Source organism: Homo sapiens, chromosome 3, assembly GCF_000001405.40.
Source record: "Homo sapiens chromosome 3, GRCh38.p14 Primary Assembly".
Taxonomy (NCBI): Eukaryota; Metazoa; Chordata; class Mammalia; order Primates; family Hominidae; genus Homo; species Homo sapiens.
This window is the reverse complement of record NC_000003.12, coordinates 115888734-115907604: the sequence shown is the minus strand read 5'-3', so window position 1 is coordinate 115907604 and position 18871 is coordinate 115888734. Positions and strand designations below refer to the sequence as shown.

The window sequence follows — 18871 nt, the reverse complement described above, 5'->3', positions numbered from 1 at the left end:
AAGAGATCAAAGTCAGGAGATGAATATCTTAGTCTGTGTAGGGTACTATAACAAAATACCTTAGACTGGGTGATTTACAAACAACAGAAATTTATTTCTCACAGTTCTGGAGGCAGGGAAGTCCAAGATGAAAGTGCCAGTGGATTCGATGTCTGCTGCAGGCCCACTCTCTGCTTCATAGATGGCATCTTCTTGCTGCATCCTTACTTGTGGAATGGGGCAAACAAGCTACCTCTTTCTTCATTAATCCTACTCATGAAGGTGGAGCCCTCATGACCTAATCACCTCCCAGAGGGCTCATCTTTTACTGCCATCATATTGAGGATTAGGTTGCAACATATAAATTTTATGCGGGACACAAACATTCAGACCTTAGCAATGGATAGGCAAAATCAGGAAGAAAAACTGAAGCCAATGTCAGAAACTAGACAGGAATTAGATCCAAGTGGGAACAGGCTGGAAGCAAGCAACAAGGCTTGAAGGAGACTGTAGCAAATAACACTGGGTATGCTGGAGTTGTTTAACAGTCCAGGGTTGAGATGGAAAACCAACTGACTGGTGCAGTTTTTAAAAGAAAGGGAGTTTGTTTTAAATATTCAAATTATTCTAGTATAGGACTAACATTAGGTTATTAGGATTGTTGTTTACCTCTTGGATTTAATCTATGTAGAACCTGACCAAGAATTCAAACAAAGCCCCAAAAGTTATACTTCTCATTCTCTGAAATTAAGCTAGCAAAGATATAATTAGCTGCCTCTAATTCAGTTTAATATGTAATAAATACCTGCTTAGTGGACCACATCTTTTCCCTGAGCTCTCTTAGCAAAGTATGTCTTAAAAATAAGAAACAGGACTTAACATTCAATGGGCACCTGCTGTGTGCCAAAAACTGTGCCAAACGCTTTGTAGATAGCAATTTATTTAAAGCCTTCAGCAAACAAAACTATTAGTTTTACTTTACAGATGAACAAATTAAGGCTTTGATGGTGGATATGCAGCCAGTAGGAAAGAGAAATGGGACTCTAAAGTTAATGCTTTGTCTGCTCTTCCTTTTTGCCTCCCTTCTTTGGATTCCAGAGCTGTCAACTGCCTTCTCTTCGAAGTCTAGTCTGCAGGAAACTAGATGTTGCAATAACCATGATAACAACTAATAATTAAGTTGGTCTCTTAGCAATACCTACACCCAGACAATATCTGATTCATTTAAGTCATTTGCTGTCCAAAGCAGTATTATTTTTCCCAGGACTTACATGCAAAAACAATAAAAAAGAACTGAGGGGAAATCAAGTGTCATCTCAGCACCATGCTTAATAAATGCTGGTCTCAGATAGATGAAACGGCATAAATAAAAGTAGCATTAGTTTCTTCTGCTCTCCCAAAGTGACACATATTATAAATGGCAGAACTCCATCATTAAATGCATTTCTGGCACAATACTGAAGAAGAGAGCCATAGTGTGAAATTCCTCGGGCTGGTAACCTTGTCATCTTTTTGACATTGGCAAAAGCCTGTAGTCTGGATGGAAGCTCTAATTGCTTTCCATAAGGTTCCAGCACCTGTTTTCAAGGTCCAGTGGTCAGAGGAACAGACTGAATCCCAAAAGTCATGTTTGCTGTTTCCAGTCTTGTACTAGTCTCATGTCCTTGGCATTGTAGTGTCCCCTAGCCTCATCCCACTTCTTCAGCAGTCTCCAAAAATAGGAATACCCAGTAATTCCCCACTATCAAGACCCCTCACAAAAATATCCTTATGTATTTTGAGTTCCTGATGCCCTAGAATGAGAGATGCTCCTGAGAAGCAGCCAGGATGAGACCCCCTCTTCCGCTGGGAACTGTAGGTACCAATGCAAGGGGAGGGGAATGAGCATCTTAGCATCTTTTATCGGCCTTATAAGTGACTTCTTTATGTAAGGCTGTGTTTTCTACAGCACATGTTCTCAAGTATGTCCTGTGCACTGCCTGTGACTTTAATAATTCTTAAAGCCTTTTTTTGGTTTTGTGTTACTGACTCAGTAGCAAAGGATCAATTTATATTAAAGGCCAAATATTAAAAATTCTAGGGAGGACTCTGGGGTATCTATTTTGGATTTAATTGAAATCAGTGTTGTTCACAGATGAAAAACTGAACAGGTACATTTTGGGGGCTTATAATGATAGTTCTCTATTGTGAAATGAAACTCAGCAGGGAGGAAGGTAAAACATTGATTTTTTTTCAGGATGCCATGTGTCTGTGCACTGAAGAATGTTTCCCAATATCATCGGTATCTCATATTAGAGCAACTGTGAGTTTCCTGTCTTTTGAAAGTACCTAGGAGAGAGAGGTGATGCTTTTATTGTCTCTCCATATACCAAACTTGTGAGAAACTTTTCATCACTAATAGAGACAGACTCTGACTTAAAAATAGGTTATATTCTAAAAGAGCAATTTTGGCTGTTCATTGTAACCTGGAGTGTATTTTCCCATAGATACAGGATTCTACTTGATGATGACTGACAAGCTGTGCAAAAGAGCATTTTATCCAAGATATGTCTGAAGTAGAGCCTGTACCCCACCATGTGCCAGCCATGTGCTGGACCCTAAAGACTCACAAATTCTTCAAGGAGTTTAAAACATCATGAGGAAAACAAACTGTTATAATAAGCAGAGTTCAATAAGATGGGATAGGTATTGTGAAGACAGGCAAAAGTTCTCTACGGGTCCAAAAGAGGGACCAACAAAACCTAGTTTTGAAAGGCAGGAGTGTGAAGTCAGAGGACATGTAAGTAAAAATCAGAGGCATCTTTTAAAAACTGCAACAACAGCACAATAGGAAGTGGTAAATTACGAGGTTGGAAAGGTAGGCAGAGATGAAATGAGTAAGACAGGTTACCAGAGGAAGGAACGTTGATGTTCTGTTCTGGTGATAATGAAGAAACCCTGAGTGTCCCTAAAGGACTGGAGTGATCAGATTCGCATTTTAGAAAGATCACTCTGAGAGTGAAGGGTAGATCTGGGAGAGGTGAGAGAAGGGACAAGGACACAGGTTAGGAAGAAATTTTAATGTTTTACTAGCCTAATAAAATAAGTTGTAAAGTGTTTGGTTGCTATTTTTATAAACGCAGGAGTTGTATGGTAAATTTGTATTGTTTTTATTATTTTTTCCTTCAATGTTGAGTAGAACTCTTCTATAATTTTATCTGGGACTGACGTTTTCTTTGTGGGAAGATTTGTATCCACTAGATCAATTTCTTAAGTTACTATAAAACTGTAAATATTTCCTATTTCTTCATGGATCCCTTTTTCTAAGTTACATTGTTTTAGAAATTAAAATTTTTCATTTACATTTTTAAAACTATTTGACATAAGCATTTTTAATTTTCCAATAAATAATTCCTAAAATATGTTTAATAGCTCTTTATCTTTTTAAATCTATAGTGACATCCAATTTTTGACTAACATCTATAGTCATGTCCACTTCATAATTCCTATCTTTATTTGTTGCTTCACTTTTTTTGACTACCGTCGACAGATGATTCATAACATCTTTCAATTTGTGCCATTCACTAACATCTACTTTTGAGAATGAGTTTTATGTTTCAGATAGTGAAATTCAAACCACATCTTCAACTTTCTGCAGTAATGTGTCATTTATCTGGAATCACTCATCAGTGAGCTATGCAAACCCAAGACAGTTTTTCAAAAGAATTTTGGAGGGAAGACTTTATTTTTTAAAAACAAGTTATAATATAATGTCTGCTTTAAATATTAAGTACCATTTAAATAAGAGTTTACCAAAGTGTGTCTTAAGGCATAGTAATCCCATAGGATATTATTTGATAAAATATATTGTATTGCCTAACCTATTAAAACCTGTTAAACCTATTAAGATCCTGTAAAATTGTTCCTTTTAGAGATACATTTTTATCAGAGGCTAACTTACCTTATCCTCTTTCCAAATAGCATCTCAATAAGGTAAAATTTATACAGGAAAAAAAGCTAATGTATCCAAATGAACATCTCTGAGAAGAAGATATAAAACATCTCCATCCTCCTGTGAGGGTTCTTTATGCCTTTTTCCAACAAATTCCATCTCTCAAGCCAACCACTTTGTTGACACCTTTTTTTTGAAACTTTTATTTTAAATTCAAGGGTACATGTACAGGTTTTTTATATAGGTAAACTCATGTCACTGGGGTTTGTTGTACAGATTACTTCATCACTCAGCTATAAAGTCTAGTACCGATTGGTGACTTTTCCTGATCCTCTCCCTGCTCTAACCCTCCACCCTCAGGGATGCCCCAGTGTCTGTTGTTCCCCTCTACGTGTTCATGTGTTCTCATCATTTAGCTCCCACGTGTAAGTGAGAACATGCAGTATTTGGTTTTATGTTTCTCTGTTAGTTTGCTAAGGATAATGGCTTCCAGCTCCATCCATGTTCCTGCAAAGGACATGATCTCATTCCTTTTTATGGCTGCATAGTGTTCCATGGTGTATTTGTACCATATTTTCTTTATCCAGTCTAACCATTGATAGGCATTTAGGTTGACTCCATGTCTTTGCTATTGTCAATAGTGCTGCAGTGAATATATGCGTGCATGTATCTTCATGATAGAACAATTTATAATCCTTTGGGTATGTACCAAGTAATGGGATTGCTGGTTGAAGGTAGTTCTTAGCTCTTTGAGGAATTGCCACACTGCTTTACACAATGGTTGAAACTAATTTACACTCCTACCAACAGTTCATAGATGTTGCTTTTTCTCTGAAACCTCACCAGCATCTGTTATTTTCTGACTTTTTAATGATAGCCATTCTGACTGGTGTGAAGTGGTATCTCATTGTGGTTTTGATTTGCATTTCTCTGATGACCAATGATGTTGAGCTCCTTTTCATATGCTTGTTGGCTGTATGTATGTCTTCTTTTGAAAAGTGTCTGTTCATGTCCTTTGCCCACTTTTCAATGGGGATGTTTGTTTTTTCTTATAAATTTTTTTAAGTTCCTTATAGATGCTGGATATTAAACCTTTGACAGATGCATAGTTTGCAAATATTTTTTCCCATTCTGTAGGTTGCCTATTTACTCTCTTGATAGTTTCTTTTGCTGTGCAGAAGCTCTTTAATTAGATCCATTTGTCAACTTTTGCTTTTGCTGCAATTGCTTTTAGCATCTTTGTCATGAAATTTTTGCCCCGTTCCTATGTCTAGAATGGTATTGCATAGGTTGTCTTACAGGGTTTTATAGTTTTGCATGATTCATAACCTTTTTAAAGAGTAAACTTTTAGTTGTGCTAATTTTTATATTGTTTCCTATTGTTGTCTTTTCCAATACATGGGCACTTATCTTTATTATCATTTTCTTCCTACTTTCAGTGAGTTTATTATAGAATAATAGTAATATATGATACTATATATTTCTATGAGCTATTCTTTTGGTAGCTTCTAGAATGCATGAGCTCATTTTTAACAAGTATTTCTTTATAATATAAACACTTAATGTTATAGATTATCCACTAACATCTGCTTTAACTAAAATGCACAAGAGTTGATTTGTATGTTTTTATTATTGTTCCTCTTACTTTATTGTGATTTTTTTTCTGTTGCCTTTCAGTTATTTAGTTTCTAAATGGACAGGGTTTTTTCTTATCTAGTTAAATTTTATCATTGATTGCTAGTGTAATTGCATTTTTACCAGAAATAGTTATCTGTAGATAACAATTCTGTTTATTGGTATTTGCTTTTTTATTTCTGAATGTGGTCAATTTTTGTAAACAACCCATATGTGTTTAAGAGAATCTATGTTCTTTACTTGTAAAGTGTGATATTTTATATATGCCCAGGAATTAAATTTTATCATTTATATGAGATAAGATGTTGAACTAAAGCCTTGATAAGGGAGAAAGGAAGAGAATGTATTGGGGTGGTATTTGGAAGATTTTATTTGGTAATTAATTGGATGTTAAATATTATGGCAATTAAAAATCCAGGATGGTTTAACAATATTCTGACTTCGATTACTGAGTGGATTTAGATGCTATACGTTGAGATAGGAAATACAGGGAGATACGCTGGTTTTGTGGGAGATAAACTGGTTTGTGGGAGTAGAACAAAAAGTTGGGTTTTGACATGTTGCTTTTGAAATGCTAGTGTGTCATCCAGGTTAATATGTGTAGGAGACAGTTGAAAATAGGTATCTGTAATCTGGACTTGAACACTATTTCGGGAAGCATCTACATCAAGGGAGTAATTGCAGCCCAAGTAAAGTAGGTAAAATGAGAAGAGAAGGCAGCCAAGGACACACTTTGAAACCTACAAAAATGTATTATTATACATATTACCTCCTCACATGCCTTCCTATCTAGTATTTTACTGCTACATTGTCAAAAGCCAGTGATTATGTAAGTTGCTCTTGGCTGCCATAACTGACAGATTAAGCACAGACTCTCAGACCCCAAATGATTCTAGAGGCAGAGCATCCAAAGGTCTGTCCAGAGCAGCTAATAGCAGAGAATGTATCCATAAGCATGCTCCTACTGCTTTACCTTCTCTTACTCAGCATGTATAGCAGAGCCTGCTACTCACTACTAAGCAAAGGTGAATATAGGAAGGGCAGGGAGAATATGTGTTGGTGGAGGAAATGAAACTTGTTTTTGCCAAAATTGAGAGGGAAGAAAGTAAGAATCTCAGAAAAGAAGAATACTTCCAAATAAATGAGAAAATTGTTTGTGCTGCTTTAGACATTTTTAACTCCAGGATCTATAGCCATGAACCAAAATCAGCTGTTTTCATCCTGATGCAGAATCCACTGTGAGTGCCAAAGGCCCAGTAAGGTACCTGAAAGCGAATAATGGTTTTTCTCCATTTAACCATTGTTCTTTCACTGTCAACATTTCTCTTGATGCTGAAGACAAGAGACAGGAAACAAAATAAATGGAGCAGCCAACTTCTCTCCTTTTGGTTGTATGCCTGCTCATGTACCCTTCCATCCTTTCATGATGCAGAACATTAGCAAATATTGAGAGTTCACAAATCTCTGGTCTTTTAGCCTTAGGGTCAGAGTTTGTGGCAAAAGCTGACTCTGGTATCAATTAGCATTTTTTTTTTTTTTTTTTTTTTGGACAGTCTCACTCTATTGCCCAGGTTGGAGTGCAGTGGTGCTATCTTGGCTCACTGCAACCTCCGCCTCCTGGGTTCAAGAGTTTCTCCTGCCTCAGCCCCCCAAGTAGCTAGGGATTGCAGGCATGGGCCACCACACCCAGCTAATATTTGTATTTTTAGTAGAGTTGGGGTTTCACCATGTTGGCCAGGCTGCTCTTGAACTCCTGACCTCAAGTGATCCACCCACATTGGGCTCCCAAACTGTTGGTATTACAGGCATGAGCCACCACGCCCAGCTGAAATAGCAATTTAAACTTAAATGAAGCTCTTAGTTTTGTCCTGCCCCAGTTTCTTCATCTATAGCATTTGGACCTAGAGAATAATATCTTTAAGGTCACAACCCACACTGAAATTCTCTGATGTATTGAATGTAGGAAGACAGGTAAAGAAACAAATATCCTAAAAGCAAATAGTTAAGTGTAATTCTACATCCAAAATTATTTATCATGCTTACAGCACCACTGTGAGGACATGAAGGATTATAGTACATAGAGGCCATTCAACTTCTTTTTTCCTTCACATCTTAAGAAAGCAGGCCATTCCTAATGGTCATCAGGAAGACGATCTTTCAATTTGGAAACTGGGTCTGTCCCTCTGAAATAAATTAGATGTGAATAAATATAAACTCCGATGCCATTTTTAGAGACTTCTGTTGTCGACAGTAAGCACAATTTAAAGCAGAGCCAGATGCCATGTCCCCTTCTCAGGATATTTAAGAATCTAGATTGTTGCTGACTGTGCAAAGTTGATGTTTGGACTATGTATAGAGTTAGATACAAAATCATTCTAATCAACAGAATAAAACAGCATCACATCTAGATTTTATGGCAATTTGACATATAAGATTTAGTGGATGTGCAGGATTGAGATATTGGAAGAGTTAAGTCTACATCCCTTATTGAATACTCATTGTGTTCCAAGGACATGGTTTAAAAATAGGCATCAGGCAGTTATGTATACAAGGGTAATCACAGCTCTTATAATAATAGTTTTTTAAAGTACCTTTCTCTTATTCACCAAGGAAAGTAGACTTGGTGATTTATAGGAATTGTGAATGCTCTGCACTGCCTCATCTTTCCAAACTAAAGCATCCTTTCTTTATGTAATTCCTTTTCTGGAGTGTTTCCTAGGAAGGCAGTGCCCTCTGAAACAAACAGGTGTTAAAGAAAATCTGATGCAAATAAGGACTCCTGCTGCCACAGAGACACATGCTTTGTACCTATATAAATGCATTTCTCAGAAAGCTCTCACTGTTGAAAAAAACTGTTTGAAAGGAAGCCGAGCTAGCTAAAAATGTTATTCTTTGTACCCTGAATACATCTGCTTCTGTTTCAGATTGGCTGCCTTAGTTATGTGTGTGTGTTTAACATATTAAAATGAGGCTTCTTTATCCTTTTCCATGATTTCAGCACAATTCTCTCCTTTGAGTTCTGGATACTGAACTGATTTGACTATATTTATACTGTGGTGCCATCTGAGACACCCATGGCTGTACACGTTGATGCATGGCTTCAAATGGTCATTGCATGACAGCCCCTTGGCCACTGCAACCCAGACTTAAGTGTGCATGCTCATAGCACCCAAAGAGAATTTACCACACACTAGTCCCTTTCTTCCTTTTCTCGAACTTCCTTTGTGGCTATGTAGTGGGTGGTCACCACTGGAGATGCCTCACAACCTTCAAACAAGGAAGCACCATGCTCCCCATCCCCCATCTTTGAGCTTTCTGCTAAGTGAAGTCTGCCTGATTCAGTCATAGCCAGGGAGGCTGGACCATTGGCTGGGTACTAGGTGAGTCTCAATCTAATTGTATCTTGTTAAGATCAAAGAAATGTCTTTTGGGTGCATATATATATATATATATATATATATGCATCTTCATGCAAATGAGGCAATCATATATTGGTACTAAAGTGGACTGAGATGCAACCTCAATAGGTTGTTCAGATTTCAGCTGAATTCTCAAATCTACTTTCTTGGCTCTTCTGGAGATTCAGCTCTTTCTAGAAAATCCTTAGGATGCCCAAAACAAAAAGAAAAATCTGTAGGTGGCCCCAGAACAGTATTTCCCAAAGTGCACCTTATGGCTTGCCCTGATGAACACTCTGTAAAACAGTTCTATAGTCAAATAAATTTGGAGAACACATTGTCTTTATCTTTTGGAAATGTACAGCTCACATTAACATATGAAAGGTTTTAGGAACTCCTACAGTTGAAAAATATCTGTTAATTTTTTTAAATCCAGTGTTTCCTAAATTTATCTTGATGTAGAAACTATTTTTTGCATAGCATTTATCATCATCCAAAATTTGGGGAAACACTAAACCCTTAACACCCTGAGAATGAGCCAAGAGTTCCCCATTGTCCCAGGTTTCTGAATATAAATCCTTAAGCAGATGGTCTTTCTTGAGCTTATCCTAGCCCCTAGGACTTCCTCAGGAGGGATATCATGGACTAGCATTTTGGATCTGGAGTGAGATTTGAATTCAGCGTGGAAAGCTGAGCTGGCCAGAGCTCACGAACTGCTCCCACATGAAGCGGTATTTTGCCTGCCAACATGGCTTCTTGACATTGTTCCTCTCATATACCAAATTTGCCCTCCCAATTTAATTAACATAGGAAATTGGAGGTGGGAAAGCCAGTGATTTTTGCCAGAGGCACTTCTGAATCTGTTCTAACAGAAAGTGAGTCAGTGCTCATCTTTTTATTTTAAAGAAAGTCCAGACACTCTTAAAACACGTTCTATTTTTAACAAAACACTATTAAACTGTCACACACCCTTCTTTCTGTTTTCTTGTCCACCGCTGCTGATGGTGACCAAGATATTTGTATGGGAATAAAAGCTGTCTTCTTTATATTCAACTGACATCTCTACTTCCCTGATATTACTATTTTGCATTTCTATAGACTTTATCTTTCTGAAAGGCTTTACAATTATTCATTAGTTATTCCCCCCAGCTTCTTGATCAGGTAGAACACTATGGTTTACCACTTTTCCCATTTCATAGCCCTCCATTCAGTTCCTCTCCTCTTCTCTTCATGGAGAGAAGAGGGAGGTAAATAACTAAATAACTGAGGGCCTACTGTATGTCAAGCTTTTTTAAAAAAAATCATGTAATCACCATAATCCTCCAACAGTAATAAGATTTCTTGATGGAATTTAGTGAGTTTCATGCTGCTCTGCTTTTCTCCTTCCAAGTTAGCTATAGAGAAAATTATATACAACAACAACCCTGGCCAAATGAGGGGAAAAATGATCAGCTTTATTAATAGCTGGGTGAGCATCTAAGCAATACCTCCTCCCTCCCCCTGCCACACACATACCATAGCCGAACCCTACCCAGTTCAGAGATTCTCTGGTAAGGGTCACCAATGAGAAGCTTAATCTTGGAATCATAAGCGAGGCTTCTTATTCCTTCCCCATCAGCTAGCCTTCATACCTAAATGTCTAGGACTGCATTTACCCATCACTGACAGAAGAAAGGAGTGGGAATAGATACAACCCCAAAGGGCAGGCCTTGCTCAGAATGTGTTTCCAAGGAGGACAAGAAGTTCTCCATGCATGGGCACATTGGAACTTAGGAACCCATGTTCAGGGCATAGAAATCCTGCACTTATGAATCATGACCATAAAAAAAAGAAGCCCTCTTCCCTCAAATTTGAAAGTCCTTTCACTGAGGATAACAATGTGCGGACCACATGTAAAAATAGTAAAAGCTGCATACCATGAGACCAATTTAGAAAAATGAGGAGAACAGTAGAAATTATCCTCACTTCCTCAATACCTAAATCAATGGTATTGATTATCTACATTGTTTTGCAAATGAGAAAAGCAAGGCACAGTTTTGATTAAATGAATGGTACAAGTTCATAAAAGCCAGCAAGAGTCAGATCTCATTCTACACTGTTTTTGACAGTGCAGGATGACCCCAGTATCTTGGATCCAGAATCACCTGCCTTGCAGCTACTGATTTCATCTTTTTCTACTCTGATAATAATTTTTATCTCAGATACCACTATATATATCCACAAGGAGTATATTACACCTCACTCAACTACCTGGGAGTTGGCCACCTTATAACTACACCTACCTGGAACTGAGTAGCAATCAATTTCAGTTGAATATGTATGTGGCAAACTATTTTAACAGCTAAAGACCATTATTTTTAGCTACTAGTGTACTTTGTTCACATAAACCCTGTTTGGACCTTAAATTGGGTTTTTTGTTTACAAACAATCCTAAGAACTGGATTTATTTCCTTGCTGTCTTATTTATAAATCTTAGCAAGGGGTAGAGAATTTTAGAAAAATTAGAAAGGAGAAAGAATAACAGTTAATAGCTTGACTGGGGAGAAAACATAAATGACAACATAAAAACATAAACAACAAAAGCAGATGCAAAAACTTAAAGCTCACACAAGCATAGGTACATTTAGTGAAATGGCAAATAGCCCAGCAGATGTTTCAGTTAATTTTAATGGTATCAATGTTGTACAACAATAGATGTTCATAATAATAAACTTGGCTCTTCAGGGAAAAATAAATAGCAGTGTTTTCTTTTTGAAATGGCAAGAATATATGTGTGACACATTTAAGAAAGATTTTCATCCCTAGAAGTTAGAATGTAAAATGTTTTACTACTTAAAGAGGTAACCCCTCAACAATTATGAAAACAAACAAAACATTTCTCTACAGAATAAATCATTTCCAAGGAGCCCTGGATAAATATGGTCTTACAGATACACTTTGTATTCTGCCAGGAATAAATACAATGAAAGGAAATCACAAATTTGTCACATATTCTTCTTATGTATTAAATGCACTCATCCCTCCTCATCATACTACTCTCCTTCCATTCCATAGATCCGTTCAAAGAAATATTTCCCCTCTTGATGCACTTCCAGCAAAGGGGTCTTATACTGAAAAATTATTTGTTTTTACCTGAAATTCAAATTTAGCTGGGCTGTTTGTATTTTTGTTTACTAAATCTGGAAACCACACTCAGGAAGTTCTAGTAATCAGCCAGTTTGTGAAACCAACAGCGTTTCTGCCATCCCTGTGGAGACCCTTGCTCCCAATACCCAAAACTTGCTAGGAGTCAACTGACCCCATCTGTTTGGTCCTTTAATGAATGTTTGGTCTCTTGCCTGTCAGTAGAAGAGCTTTGACCAACAATACCAAAATGATACATCCCTAAAGTCTTCAGTGATTTTTCTGTCCAGCCTCTAAACCCTCACAATTCACAGTCAAGAGATTGAACTGCTCTGATAACAAGAGCTGTGACTAAGAACCATGGAAGAACAATCTGATAGTTAAAGGACAAAAGCCTGCATTTATACCTGATGATTCTGGTAATTGTCAATGGGAGGGAAGCATAGCAAGAATTTTTTAACAGGCCGTGAATAAACACATCTTTTTTTTGTTTGTTTGTCTGACTTTAACAAGGTGTATTAACCCTTAATTTTTCTTCCTTTTTATTCTCTATTCATCCGCATTTGGTTCTCTTGAGAATAATGAAAGGAAATCAAAGTGCCTTTGTGAGTTTTGACAGCCAAGTGCAAATAGATTGATTAAAAACATGGTGTTTCTTTTTAAAATTTAAATAAAGGAGAGATTTGTGGGTAATATGCATAATATGTGTTCACTGGTAACAAGCTAGCAGTGGGAAGAGGGAGGAAATATTGAGGCACCATCAGTGTTGTTCTGCTTTTAAGCACAAGATTGATTTTAAATTTTTCCTGCGTGTCAGTTTCATTACAGGCAAATTAATTCTTTCAGTGGCTTGAGATTTTTTTCTGAACATCTCATGGAAAAAAATATGTTATCAGTGGTTTTCATTTTTCATGAACAATGCATTAAATCTGAATGCTGAATTAGTGGGCTTAACTCAGAAGATGGTATTTCTGAATAAGATGGTCTGCCAAAGAAGCCATTTTCTTCTTACTTTATTATGTTTTCTTCATCCCCAAATTCTAGCATAAAGGTAGAGAGCTCAGAATGAGTTCATTCTCCCATCTCACTCACATGGTGTTTTAATAGAAGAGTATTCCTTCATCCAGAGAGTACCGAGGGTCTTGGGCCAGTTCATGCATTGTGAGCACATACTTTATTTCCCTTTGCCCTTTAGGTGTTGCATGTAAATAGGGACAAAAATGCTAATAGAAGGAAGTATTAGGATATAGGCAGTGGCCAAAGGCAAGGAATTGTTAGTGGTGAGTAAAATGTTAAAGCTCTATTTGACAAGTCAGAGATCTGGGCAAGGTTACCCTGGATGAAAATAGGTGCACCATAGACTTTTGTCCAACCAGGCTAGAAGACAGATGGTCTAAATTCTTGCAGTATGGTTGATGGAATAAAGAGTTATGCGTATTTATCTAATTCAAATAATACTGCAGAATAAGATTGTCTAAATTAAGAGTAAGAAAGTGAAAAGGGAGAAAGCAGACATGAAAAGGAGGTTTGACCTGTGTGACACAGGAGGGGTCAGAAGCTGAAAGGGGATTTGAAGTGATGACAATCTGTCTGCCAGGAGACAGTCTTGCAACTGGGTCACATGGCTACGGAGTATGCATGTTGATTCCCAGCACGGTCATCTATCTCGATTCTGTGGTACCTGAAAGTTCTATAATTTGTAAGTCCTCTCGAAAAGAAGAACACAAATTGGGTGTAAAAGTCCATTTTTATTTAGAGTAAAAATAGAAGTTAAACATAAAATCGAGAGAATGTTACCATCATTTTATGAATTAATTGCCTGATATACATCTAATACTTTTATTCCTGATTTTTTCGTTTGAACATTTTTGATTGCTTCTTCATAAGACTACACTTTTATAATATTTTATAGAGCAAATAAAGAGACAACTCAATTTTTCTCTACTATGATTGATCAAAAATTGTATGTTAAAATTGATAGTTTTAAAAGGTCCTTTGATTTTTATAATTCTTCCTGCCAATATTATGCAAATGTTTAGGACTGTCATCAATTTGGGGAAAAAGAAACCTCTACTGAGACTCTTCTGTATATGAGCTACAACAGCTAAGTGCATTTCAAGTTTTCTTTTGTGCTGATCACTCTTAAATATTATTTGAGTTGACAATATTCATTAACCAGTTTGTCGTCAGAGTTCTCATTCTAGTAGCAAGCCAAAAGTTATTTATTCTTGTTGATTTCTTTATTATACTTTAGGTTCTGGGATACATGTGCAGAACGTGTAGGTTTGTTACATAGGTATACACAGGCCATGGTGGTTTGCTGCACCCAACAACCCCTCATCTACATAAGGTGTTTCTCCTAATGTTATCCCTCACCTAGTCTCCCACTCCCCGACAGGCCCCAGTGTGTGATATTCCCCTCCCTGTGTCCATGTGTTCTCTTTGTTCAGCTCCCACTTATGAGTGAGAACATGCAGTGTTTGGTTTTCTGTTCCTGTGTTAGTTTGCTGAGATTTTTATGTTTTGTATAAAGTTGATAAGAAATTTAAGTATTTCCTGATTGATACAGTGAGATTTCACATACAGCTTCACATACTCCCATACCCAATATTTGTAGTTCTGTGACAGATTTCTGCCCTAAAAAGAGATTCTGACAAATGCCATTTCACACAGTTTAAATTAAAATAATATATATTATATATATAATATAATTGATGTATATTATATGCATACTCATATATACTACTTCATCAAGTATATTCCTGAAGGTAAAGTTTTTCCATTTTGATGATAGCTATATCCTCTGTTTATAATTTTTCAAATATTTTATTGAAGTATATACATACTAAAAAGTGTCTGTTTTAATTGTATGGCTCAATGAACATTCACAAATATATAGCATGACACTGATATCCAGATCAAGAAATAGAACACTACTAGCACTCCCGAAACCCCCCTTATGCTTTCTTCCAGTCCCTACCTGCTAGAAGGGTAACCCCTGTTTACCTGCTTTTGTACTTGACATAAGTGGAATCATACCTATAATACTTCTTTTTGTGTCTGGCTTCTCTCACTCAACTTAGTGTTTGTGATATACACATAGTTTGGATAGTTTATCTTATTCTGTATGGTTTTCCAATGTGTGAATATACCACAATGTTTAGAGTCTATTCTACTATTTATAAACATTGGGTGGTTTCTATTTGGGGACTATTGTAAATAGTGCTGCTGAGAATGTCTTGGACATGTCATTTAATGAACATATGAACCTGTTTCTGTTGGTTATGATGTTTTTAGAAGTGGGATCACTGGATTCTAAAATATGTAGCTATTCTGCTTTAGTAGAGTCTACCAAATAATTTTCCCAAGGGTTTGAACCATTTTGCTTAAAATTTACAGGTCTGATGCTTGGAAGAATTTTTCATTGACCAGCTTCTGACTTTATACATTTTATCCTCTGCTACTCTTATAATTCTTGTACTGGGTAATCTAAGACATGTTCATATCATATTACAACCTTTGTTCCTGCAATGTTAAGTGATATAGTACAGTGAGAAGTAAGTACATTCCAGCACTGGGGTACTAATAATAACTTACCTATTCAAAGAACCGACTGTGAACATCATAATCATATCACTTTCTACTTAACTATATGCAGAACCAACTGAACTTCCCTTTAGCAGGATTCCCAAGATAACCGAAGCCACTAAAATGCCACCTACTACCAGGAGAAGTGTGATGGAAGAGAAGAGGGATGGTGGGAGGCAACAACTCTAATCCTGTGATTAAAATATCATATTTTTGCAAAATTTACAAAACTCTGACCAAATTGAACAAATAGTTAAGGGCTCTCCTGAGTGGTTTGGAATAGGGCCTTGGCAAAAGACTGGCCCTGAAGCTGAAGCTTCATTAGACTATTCATTTTCTGTTGCTTGAACCCTGCCATATAACAAACAACTATAAAAACTCATTGGCATTCAACAATAAGCATATTGCTCATGTGTCAGCACTGATGGTGGGCCAGGTGACTGCTGATCTCACCTGAGATCACTCATATGTTGTGAGGTCAAATGATGTAGGAAGGCTTTGACTGGGATGACGTGGCTCAGCTCTTCGCATGTCCTTTATCTTTCATCAGGCCAGCCCAGGCTTGTTTCTTCTCATGACATTATCAGAGAGCATGAGAAGAACAAGCTCCAGTGTGCATGCCCATTTTAAGCTTCTGTTTATATCACATTTACCAGCATCTTGATGGGTACAGCAAATCACAAGGCTGAGCCTAGAGTCAGAAGTGGGAGGGGCCTACAAACTTCCATTGCAATGAATATGTATACATGGATGGAGGAAGACTGGGGCTGTTCCTGACATTATGTCACAACAATGAGGTATCCAGTAAATCTGCCTCTGGTTCCCAGCCTTCCCTTCACATATAACTGAAAGTATTGTTAGGGGTAAGCTACAGTTGAGTGAGCAAAGTTTACAGAAGGCAGAAGTATAGTACAATTTGTGTCATAATGGAAACACTCCTTATCAACCTTATTCCTAGCTAAGCCTCCCACAAACTTTTTCCCATCAGGGCACACATGGAAAATGTCGGTATTTTTACAGGATACTGAAATGGGATGCTCATGATGCAATGCAAATTGGATAGATCCTCTAAGGGCTGAGGATCCCAATATCTCTATATATCTAGGATGAATTCAGACTGAGACTGCCCTGGCTTTCACCACAATAGCTATCCTTTGGCTGCATGAAACTCTTTTCACATAGAAGCACCTCTGGAATGATGCAACATAAGCCTCATCAGTCAATGAGTACATGAAGGCTTACTGGCTACATCTTTTACTGAGGTGTCATTTTCATTTGTTTTGTTTCCTGGGAAAAAGGGAAACAGAAACAGGCGAAGAGTAGGAGAATATGTGTTTTGCAAATGTAGAGAAGAAAGAATGGATAGAAAGTGAGAGGACTTAGAAGGCAAATCTCTCCCATAATTCAGATTCAACTTCAACCGGCTGTGAGAACATCTTATTCTTAACTGGAAAAGTAAGGAATATCATCATTCCAAACTAGTAATGTGGTCTGTAAGAGAGGCTTAACCTGAACTACTAGTTCCATGTTGATTAATAGACAGATTAGAGATAATAGAGGAGTAAATTGTGCTTGTTGGATTATCATGTAGAGTTACATGACTATTATATGACATATAGTTACATGACTATATGACTATCTGTTAGGTCACTGTAATTTTAGCTGGTTGATGCTCCGATATTCTTTGTACAAGTTCAGAAACTTGTTTGCAAAATGTCCCAGAGAGATCACATTAACATTGTCTGTATTGAGCCAGCATATAGAGCCGTGGATGCTTTTGAGATTTAGGAATTCATGTAAAATCTTATTTTAACCAACCTGAAAAGAAATCAAAATTGCTGTACTGAACTCAAATCTCATTAAAATAGAAGTTTACTGCTATAGAGAATGAAGGGATATACTGTTTATTGAGTTTTTTATTTGTTTACATAAAACAAGTGTTAGGTATGCAGTGTCTGCAAACAATAACAAATGGGAGAGTTGCAAAAGAGTGTGTTTTTGCTAGTTCTGAGGGAGTAACTAAAATTATCTCTTCCACTGTTACTATATTTAAATGCAATATAAGATGCTCTTAATATGATTTGTATGTTTTTCGCATTGTTTTAGTAGTGATGGAAGCACAGACAGGATTCGTTTTGCGGTGCTCAATTTTTAGGACTATGTCCTAGCCTTGCAGAAATGCCTAAACACAGTCATTAATGCCATATTGTTTATAGAGAATTCAGATATAGTAAAGAGGAAAACTTCTCTTATAGGGTTACCTTATAGAATTACAGACTATTAATCTCTAAGGTCACTGCTAGTTTTTACTCTCAAAGGTCATTCCGCTGATACTCCAATGCCATCTTCTCCATTTATGTTATACATAACTGGGGGCCAAAGCAGGACTGAAAACCAGTCCTTCTGAGATTTAATCCAGTGCTGTGTTCATATTAGAAATATCAGTTTTGCCTGGACTTGGATCTACCACCAGACTCTACAGCATGACTCCCCTCTCAAGTTCTTAAGCCTTACCTAAATATAACCCCAATTGGAGCACCAGAATCCCAGTTTCATTCTTTAGTAACCCCTGCACACACACAGGCAAACACACCCATTCTTATGAGTTCATAGGTCTCTGAAAATTCACCAACACATCACCCAGCATAAGCGCATTTAGATTACAGATATTCCACTTCAAGTTTTATACTTAATTTCAAAAGAGTAGTATTTTCGTTAGGTAGAATGACAACTAACTTCATTCATATCCAGTTTTTAAACACAAGGAACCTTGCCCATCTTCAGGCTCACCTTTCCATTCCAGCCCTGTACTGGATGAAAAGGACCCCAACTTCCTACCCAACTGGAACATGTGTGCTCTGAGTGCTTTAGAGAGAGGGAGAACATTCACAGGAATCTCAACAGATGGCGTAAACAAGGCATGGTTCCACTTCACTGGCTTTCTTTCCCTTCCTGTCCATTCTCTCTGCGTGGTTGAAGAAAGAGCCTACCCCTGAGAGGGACTAATATCTTTAGGGTTGGTATAGGGGGCTGTCTCTTTTTCCTCAGAATTTACTTCTTCTAGCCACAGACTTAGAATAGACTAGGATTCCATTCTAAATAATCTCACCAGCCAAATTTGCCACATAGTTGACTTTCCTCTTTTCTGCACTTATTATACTTCCAAACAGTCTGAGATCAGGATAGTAGATGGGAAGGAACTAAGAAGAAAAAATAG

General features: G+C 37.2%; 1 protein-coding gene, 1 long non-coding RNA gene and 1 other non-coding gene across 8 annotated transcripts in view; 2 read left to right on the top strand and 1 right to left on the bottom strand.

Moving 5' to 3' along the window:
• Positions 1 to 18871, bottom strand: part of LOC124906269 (uncharacterized) — a 277601-nt gene that overhangs the window by 161097 nt on the left and 97633 nt on the right. The gene's annotated exons all lie outside the window — the stretch shown is intronic.
• The window catches only part of LSAMP (limbic system associated membrane protein), a 643114-nt gene that overhangs the window by 537883 nt on the left and 86360 nt on the right, over positions 1 to 18871 (top strand). The gene's annotated exons all lie outside the window — the stretch shown is intronic.
• SNORD155 (small nucleolar RNA, C/D box 155) lies at positions 2479 to 2539 on the top strand. Its single transcript, NR_145779.1, has one exon. It is a non-coding gene; the product is annotated as a small nucleolar RNA, C/D box 155 (small nucleolar RNA).